Source organism: Homo sapiens, chromosome 2, assembly GCF_000001405.40.
Source record: "Homo sapiens chromosome 2, GRCh38.p14 Primary Assembly".
In the NCBI taxonomy this organism is placed as follows: Eukaryota; Metazoa; Chordata; class Mammalia; order Primates; family Hominidae; genus Homo; species Homo sapiens.
The window spans coordinates 180,049,338-180,058,945 of NC_000002.12; the positions used below are offsets into that span (position 1 = coordinate 180,049,338).

At 38.1% G+C, this 9,608-nt stretch overlaps 2 annotated features.

Annotated features, from left to right (window-relative positions):
• Positions 7,149-7,935: an enhancer, noted in NCBI's record as "OCT4-NANOG hESC enhancer chr2:180921213-180921999 (GRCh37/hg19 assembly coordinates)". NCBI's record gives its function as "activates a minimal SCP1, AML or CMV promoter by ChIP-STARR-seq in naive and primed H9 embryonic stem cells {active_cell/tissue: H9 hESC(naive and primed)}" and the evidence as "EXISTENCE:reporter gene assay evidence [ECO:0000049][PMID:30033119]".
• Positions 7,465-7,759: a silencer, noted in NCBI's record as "tiled region #8338; K562 Repressive non-DNase unmatched - State 24:Quies". NCBI's record gives its function as "represses a minimal TATA promoter and a strong SV40 promoter by Sharpr-MPRA in K562 cells {active_cell/tissue: K562}" and the evidence as "EXISTENCE:reporter gene assay evidence [ECO:0000049][PMID:27701403]".

Genomic DNA, 9,608 nt, shown 5'->3' on the forward strand with positions numbered 1-9,608 from the left:
AAAAACCCACAATTTTATTTTTTCCAAGGATACGTAGTTGCTGTGAATATTTTAATCTTTGAGAATATTGCATAATTTTAACTGGCAGAAAACATAAATGTACCAACCAAGTTAAAAATTATGAAGAGAAGCTTCCAAGAAAAATTGTCAAGCTCAGATGTTGACTTCCTTTATCCTGTTGATACAGTAAAGGTCATTGGTTCCAGTTAATATGACCTGGTTAGTTTTACAGAAATGAATGTTACAGACCAAATCCTGCCCTTTCTCTTCACTTTCTTGCACTGATTTGTTTACTGGTTAACATAATTTTTGCCTTTTGCTGTTTTCACTATTAAATTGGTTTTTCAAAGGAATATGGAAAAATTGCTTGACTTCAGTAATGTAAACCAGCCAGAACACACACACAAACAAACACACACATATGCACACACACACACACGTGCATAGCCTTCTGTCTGAAGCCAAATGAATATTTCAAATGTTACTCTCAGTTGTTTGAGTCTAGAATTATATGACAACAGAAACTGTGCTATTAAGACAGGAAGTAAAAGAGGAAACCTTTGCTAAAGCAGTGGCTAATTATGTAATTAAGTAGTGGAACATTACTTTGGAAATGCTTAGTTAACATCTCTGCTATGATGTTTGCAGAATGTCTGCCATAAATGTAGGTGAGACCACGAAACATTTGCTTGGCTGACATAGGCAACACTGGACTTTGGCCCAAACAGTTGATGGATGTCCCATTCATAAGAGTAGATACAGATATTGCCCCTCAGTTCAGATCTCTACCTTCCTTTTCCCTACATCGGCCCAGGCTATTGTCTCCCCGGTGGCTTTCCTGTCTCTAGCTTTCTCAAAATTGTTTCATCCATTGTTCATTCTCTGCGTCTTTTCAGGTAGGTTCCATGGAGACAGGAGGAGAAAGATTGAGGAGATGTAGGGGAAAGTAAGTCTGTAAGCCACTGATGCAAATGTTTCCTTTCCTACCCTTATCCTCTCTCCACCTCGGGGTAGTTTCAGAGTATTCCTCGTCACCTCTCCACAAGTCTCCCTTTTGCCTGTTCAGCTTCCTAACTACAAACTATGCCTCATCTGCTCTTACGAAATGCTTGGGGATTCTTCTGAACATGAGGCAAATTTTACTACATAAACCTTCCATTATCATCTGCATCATTATTATCTTTGCTACTAGAGTGGAAGCAGAAGAAAGAAAAAAAAAAACCCCTAGATAGATAGTAAGCAATTTTTTTAGTCACATTTTACCTTTAATTACCAAAACTGTGAGAAAAACCATAAAAATAGTTTCATGCTTGCTTTAAGACAAGGAGAATAGGGCAAATGCTGTGAGATTACTAAATTTCTCATTTGTTGAGGGAAAGTCTCTAGACAGAAGCAAAAGATGTGGTATTAAATGTAGAAGTAGCCTGACCAATTCTTGAGGCTTTTAGGAGGTGATAGGGCACTGTCCAAGATGGTAACCTCATTTATCATCATTCCTAGGAGCCTCTGATTTCAGTTAACAAGATCTCTATCAAGCCACCACATTCTGCTGGAGGCCCTCCCTAGCCCATGAGAACTGCATCAGGTGCTTGGATCTAGGAGTAGGAGAAGGTCCTAGGGAGAAAACTGATGAACAACAGCTGATTTTACTGTGTTGATGTGTTTCATTTGGCCAATATGGAGTCCTTTTCTTTGTTTTATTACTTTGAAGGATTTTAGGTGTAGAATATGCACTCTTCAGTTTACCAATCTCCCCACCACTCTCTGGTACCAAATACATTACAGTTTCAGTTATTTATGTTGGTTGCCCAATGTTGAAGACATTTATGATTCTGATTACAATTCCATAGCTGGAAAAGCAGTATAGAGAGGCACATTCTTACTTCCTCCCTGGGTTTATGTAGAGTGGGGTCTTTTGTAACCCTATAGTGAGGAAGAGGGGAAAGGGCTGCTCTCTGATGCCCCTTAAGTGTTGTTTTATTGTTTCATTTGCCTTTCTTCTTCTTATTATTATTTATTTTTAAATAGAGATGGGGTTTCGCTGTGTTGCCCAGGCTGATCTCAAACTCCTGGGTTCAAGCAATTCTCCCTCCTCAGCCTCCAGGGTAGTCGGGACTACAGGTGCATGCTACCAGGCCCAATTTAGTTTTGTTTCTAATTTTGTTTTTCTTAAGCTTAACTCCTATAGGTAGGCTCATAGACTGCATTCTTACCCATGGTCTGTCTCCTTTCACACTCAAGCCTACATTTTGCTATACTAACAAATGTGTTTTTCTGCTATACTAAGTGTTCATGCTGAAATGCTGAATACAGTTCCCCATAGAAATGTGTGTGTATTTTTACATACTTTCTTTTGAAAAATCAACAACAAAATAGAGCAATATAAATTCTGACACATCCACATTTCCCTGACTTCATAAGCTTTTTTCTTTAGCAAAAACAGTTCAACTGAAAAGGACTTATTTGTTGAAAGTTGTAGTTTTAGATTGATTTATGTTTCAGTAAAAGATAATATTTGTTAATTGGGGTTCAAATATGTACTTTTTTCTTAATGTATTACCTATAATTTTAATGTAATAAACAGAAAGTATTACTATAAGAAATTTAAATCTTAACCTCATTTGTTTTGTAACTGAAAATGTAATCTATTTTCTTTTTACTGCTGGCTATTAACTGGTAGATTTTGTGGATAGTGTGACTGTTTGGCTACAAACAAAAAATGAAAGATAAAGAACTTTAAAAAGTCTAAGAATAGCGTAAGAAAAAGTCTTTCTTCTTTCCTAATTTCCCTGTAAAAATCAACAAAGCAGTGAGCTGTCTTAATTTCCAGGGAGAAGTGAGAGAGAGCTAGACACAGTTTGAAGAACCATATGATCCAGCAATCCCACTTCTGCATATATATTCAAAAGAATTGAAATCAATGTCTGAAAGAGATGCCTTCACTCACATGTTCATTGCAGTATTATTCACAATAGCCAAGATATGGAAATAACCTAAGTGTTGACAAATAAAGCAATAAGAAAAATGTGAAAGGTACACACACATACACACTAAAACACACACACACAGGAATATTATTCAGCCTTAAAAAGAAGAAAATCCTGCAATTTGCAACAATATAGATGAACCTGGAAGACATTATACTACCAACGAAAAAACCCCAGGACCAGACAGATTCACAGCCAAATTCTACCTGAGGTACAAAGAGGAGCTGGTACCATTCCTTCTGAAACTATTCCAAACAATAGAAAAAGAGAGACTCCTCCCTAACTCATTTCATGAGGTCACATCATCCTGATACGAAAACCTGGCAAAGACACAACAAAAAAAATTTCAGGCCAATATCCCTGATGAACATTGATGCAAAAATCCTCAGTAAAATACTGGCAAACCGAATCCAGCAGCACATCAAAAAGCTTATCCATCATGATCAAGTTGGGTTCATCCCTGGGATGCAAGGCTGATTCAATATATGCAAATCAATAAATGTAATCCATCACATAAACAGAACCAATGACAAAAACCACATGATAATCTCAATAGATGCAGAAAAGGCCTTTGACAAAATTCAACAGCACTTCATGCTAAAAACTCTCAATAAACTAGGTATTGATGGAACGTATCTCAAAATAAGAGCTATTTATGACAAACCCACAGCCAATGTCATACTGAATGGGCAAAAGCTGGAAGCATTCCCTTTGAAAACTGTCACAAGACAAGGATGCCCTCTCTCACCACTCCTATTCAACATAGTATTGGAAGTTCTGGCCAGGGCAATCAGGCAAGAGAAAGAAATAAACGGTATTCAAATAGGAAGAGAAGAAGTAAAATTGTCTCTGTTTTCAGATGACATGATTATATATTTAGAAAACCCCATTGTCTCAGCCCCAAATCTCCTTAAGCTGATAAGCAACTTCAGAAAAGTCTCAGGATACAAAATGAATGTGCAAAAATTACAAGCATTCCAATACACCAATAATAGACAAACAGAGAGCCAAATCATGAGTGAACTCCCATTCACAATTGCTACAAAGAGAATAAAATAACTAGGAATACAACTTACAAGGGACGTGAAGGACCTCTTCAAGTAGAGATACAAACCACTGTTCAGGGAAATGAGAAGACACAAACAAATGGAAAAACATTCCATGCTCATGGATAGGAAGAATCAAAATCGTGAAAATGGCCATACTGACCAAAGTAATTTATAGATTCAATGCTATCCCCATCAAGCTACCATTTACTTTCTTCACAGAATTAGAAAAAACTACTTTAAATTTCATATGGAACCAAAAAAGAGCCTGCATAGCCAAAACAATCCTAAGCAAAAAGAACAAAGCTGGAGGCATCATGCTACGTGACCTCAAACTATACTACAATGCTATAGTAACCACAACAGCATGGTACTGGTGCCAAAACAGATATATAGACCAATGGAACAGAACAAAGGACTCAGAAATAACACCACACATCTACAGCCATCTGATCTCTGACAAACCTGACAAAAACAAGCAATGGGGAAAGGATTCCCTATTTAATAAATTGGGTTGGGAAAATTGGCTAGACATATACAGAAAACTGAAACTGGACCCCTTCCTTATACCTTATACAAAAATTAACTCAAGATGGGTTAAAGACTTAAACATAAGACCTAAAATCATAAAAACCCTAGAAGAAAACCTAGGCAATACCATTCAGGATATAGGCATGGGCAAAGACTTCATGTCTAAAACACCAAAAGCAATGGTAACAAAAGCCAAAATTGACAAATGGGATCTAATTAAACTAAAGAGCTTCTGCACAGCAGGAAAAAAAAAAAAAGAACTATCTTCAGAGTTACAGGCAACCTATAGAATGGGGGAAAATTTTTGCAATCTATCCATCTGACAAAGGGTTAATATCCAGAATCTACAAAGAACTTAAACAAATTTACAAGAAAAAAACAACCCATGAAAAAGTGGGTGAAGGATAGAGATAGACACTTCTCAAAAGAAGACATTTATACGGCCAACAAACATATGAAAAAGAGCTCATCATCACTGGTCATTAGGAAAATGCAATCAAAACCACAGTGAGATACCATATCATGCCAGTTAGAATGGGGATCATTAAAAAGTCAGGAAACAACAGATGCTGGAGAGGATGTGGAGAAATAGGAACACTTTTACATTGCTGGTGGGAGTGTAAATTAGTTCAACCATTGTGGAAGACAGTGTGACAATTCCTCAAGGATCTAGAACCAGAAATACCATTTGACCCAGCAATCCCACTACTGGGTATATACCCAAAGGATTATAAATCATTCTACTATAAAGACACATGCACATGTATATTTACTGCAGCCCTGTTCACAATAGCAAAGATTTGGAAGCAACCCAAATGCCCACCAATGATAGACTGGATCTGGATAAAGAAAATGTGGCACATATATACCATGGAATACTATGCAGCCATAAAAAATGATGAGTTCATGTCCTTTGCAGGGACATGGATGAAGTGGAAACTTTACCATTCTCAGCAAACTAACACAGGAACATAAAACCAAACACCACATGTTCTCACTCATAAGTGGGAGATGAGCAATAAGAACACATGAACATAGGGAGGGGTATATCACATACTGGGGCCCGTTGGAAGGTGGAGAACTAGGGGAGGGATAGCATCAGGAGAAATACCTAATGTAGATGACAGGTTGATGGGTGCAGCAAACCACCATGGCACATGTATACTTATGTAACAAACCTGCACATTCTGTACATGTATCAGAGAACTTAAAGTATAATAAAAAAAGTAGAGCAGAAAAAAATAATAATGCATTATATATGTACTTGAAATTTGCCAAGAAACTAGGTCTTATGTGGCCTCACATACACAGAAAAGGTAACTATGTAGAAATTTGTTAAAGGATACCAAATTATAGATAGATAGGAGAAATAAATTCTGGTGTTCTATACCACTGTAGGATGACTATAGTGAGCAATAATATATAGTTTCAAATAGCTAAAGGAGGATGGTGCATGTTCCCAACACAAAGAAGTGATAAATGTTTGAGATGACAAATGTGCAATAACCTTTATCTGATCAGTGTATGTATCAAAACATCACCATGTACCTCATGAATTGTACAATTATTTGCCAATTTAAAAGGGTAACTATATAAGTTGATGAATATGTTAATTAGCTTGATTGTGGTAATCATTTCACGGTGTATATTATATCAAAACATCAGTTTATACACCTTTTGCATATATATGTATAAACACACAATTTTTATTGATGAATTATATCTCAATACATCTGGGGAAAATTAATTATTTTAACATTTGAGGTGAAAATGCAATAAAAAAATTGTGTGATTTTTGTTGTGCCTGTGAATAATATCCAGTAGAAATCAGTAATAACTGAGACAAGTCATGAGTCATGAATTGATAGAAAAACTTTAGTTTCTGAAGATCACAAACCCAGTATGAGAATGGCTGTTCAAATAAAAAAAGCAAATTGGCATTTGTTTACATTCTTCCATGTTAAGTAGGATCAAGTTTGGACATTTTTCCCCTTTTAGACTATGATAGCTTTAAATTAAATAGCAGGAAAAGCAAAGCATAAAATTTACAGCAGAGAATATTCTTGGAAACTGATACCCTTCATCAACATCCTGTTCAATTTGAAAGTAAATGGTTTGAGTGAAAAATCAATTAAACATCCATTAAGGAGCTGCTTCAGAATACTGCATCATTAAGTAATAGCAGTTGCTGATTTTTTCTTAACCACAGTGGAAAATGTGAACAAGAAATTGAAGTAAAGGGGACATTTCTGAATGATGTGGTTGACCTATGAACCCTACTCTGAAGTTGTTATAATTCTGTCCAGCTCATTTATTATACTTATTGCAATTTTAGTGGCCCTTAATAGTAGGGAGGAGAGAGACTGGGAGGGATCAGAACAGGAAAAATATATCTGTCTTTTGGATGGTGGAACATAAACTTTTTTGGGGCTATGGATCCTAAGAGACTTTGATCAAAATGCATTTGCATATGACCTAAACTATCCACACATAAAATCAATACTAGGGGTTGAGGGATTGCTTGAAACTTATTCATGGGTAATCTAAAGCTTTTTAGACTTTGCCTTAAGACCATTTGCTCTATGGTTTGCCTTTAAGCTGGGAAGTTTGTTGGGAAAAAGCTGAGTGTTGGGAGGGAAACTGAGGCAGGGCTTGCATAATGTCTTTGGAATGTTTCTAGACTTGCTGGCTCCTTGTTTCTAGCCTTCCTAGGCTCCTATTCCCATTATCTCAAGTAGCAGAACATGTTTCTTATAAATGCTAAACCATCACAGCTGTAAATCATGTGCTTAATCAGTGTGCCCTTTTGACCTCCACATTCTCACCACCTGTTTCTTTGTTGGGTTACCAATAAATACCGTGGGCTCCCAGCGCTACGGGCCTTCGCAGCCTCCGTACGATAGCTATTCCCCCCACCCCAAGCATCCCACCTTTTTCTTTCTCACTGTTTTCTCTTTCTCTGTCTTTTTCTTAATCCTTTGAGTCCGCTGGACTTTGTCACCCCCACGATCTGTTGTTGGGTCTGATCACCTTAACATTCCTGGCTGCCCAGTGTGGGGCGACAAAGACGCCGGTGAAGGAATGCTATGAGCGTGTGAAAGCGGAGAATGTCTAAAAGAAGCTCAGCGGGAAAGCTGAGCACTTGGAAGAAGCAGGGTAACAATGGGACAAAGGAAAAGCAGATATTCTGCTTAAATTTCTTAAGGCATTTATTACGAAGAGGGGAAGTGAAAGTTAGTACTCAGAACTTATTACTCTTTCCTACAGTAAAAGTTTTGCCCATGGTTTCCAAAACAAGGGACTATGGAATTGGGTGAATGGGAGAGAATTGGAAGAGACTTTAAAAAGGCGTATGAAGAGGGAGCAGAAATTCCAGTTTGTTTGGTCAATGTGGACACTAACAAAGGCAGCTCTTGAGCCATTTCAAACATGATGAGGTAGGCTCAGATGAGGAAGAGGAGGATAAGTGTAAAAAATTAGATTGTTAATGTGAGGAACAGGAAACGGAGAGAACTAAAAGAAAGGGAAACTGAAAAAAGTAGGTCTTACTAGACCGTCGGCTCCACCTGCTGAATTAAGTGAAAGGCCACCTCTCTCTCCCCATAATGGGCTAGGAGATGAATTAGCTAGAAAACGTACTGCTCCTATAGTTGCAAAATTAAAACCTGGAACAATTGGTGCTATACAAAATTCTACTCAAAAGGCTACAGCTGAGGGACACCTCGAAGCATGCAATTTCCCGTAACTATAATCCAGCAGGGAGGATAGCAAACGTCCTTCCACTGTGTTTCCAAAATCCATCTACAAAGGAGAAAGATACACAAGCAGTTAAAGGAATAGGGTACACTTTTTTTTCTTTAAAAGCCAGGGTAAATTTAAAAACCTATAACTGAAGGTCTCCGTGGCCCTGTAACACTCCAGTACTACCTTATCAGTGTAAACAAGGCCGAAAGCACTGAGACCACGGACAACCAGTAGCCTTCCTATCAAAAATTCTTAACCCAGTAATCCGCGGATGGCCCAAATGCATTCCATTGGTAGCAGCAACTGCTTTGCTAACAGAAGAAAGTAGAAAAACGTTTAGTGGAAACCTCATTGTGAGCACACCTCACCAGTTCAGAGCTATCCTAAGTCAAACAAAAAGGTAGCTTACTAACTCAAATCTAAAAGTATAGGGCTATTCTGTTAGGAAAAAAGATTTAACATTAACCACTGAAAATTCCCTTAACCCAGCAGGTTTTGTAATGAGGGATTTAAATTTTAATTACCATACAAAGGCCCGATCAGACCCCTAGGAGGAACTCCCTTCAGGACAGAACAATAGATGGTTCCTCCTGGGTGACGGGGGAGGGGGTGAAAACACAATGGGTATATTCAGTAATTGATAGGGAGACTATATATAGAAGCAGAGTTAAGAAAATTGCCTAATTCGTCTGCTCAAACCTGCGAGCTGTTTGCACTCAGAATCAAAAAACTTTCAATCCTGACTCAAAAGGTTACCTACACCCTCTGAAATGAATTTGCTTAAGAACTGTTCATGGGAGTGAATCTTGATGGGGCAGCTGGGTGGGTATGAAATACTCAGGAACCCAGCCCAGCTCTAGGACTCACCTGTGAGCGCAAAGGCAATGTTGGGCATGCTGGTAAAGGACCACTAGAATCTAGCAGCCTGGACCCATTTCTTTGTGGTCAAGAAAGGTGGGAAAACAGGTGCCGGACTGCTACATTGGTAAGAGTAACTAATCTGATAAGCAGAGGTCTATGGGTGGTTACGCACCCTGGAAAGGAATAAGCATTAGGACCGTAGGGAATGCTCTAGGACTAATGCTCATTGGAAAACGACTTAGGGGTGCTGGCATCCCTGTTTTTTCAGATGGGAAATGTTCCCCACAAGGCAAAAATGCCCCTAAGTGTATCCTGGAGAATCGGCCCAGTCAGAGTGTAGTACCTTTTTCCCTCTCAGACTTTCAAACAAAATAGACCTAGGTAAATTCTCAGATAACCCTGATGGCTATATTGATGTTTTATAAGGGTTAGGATAATC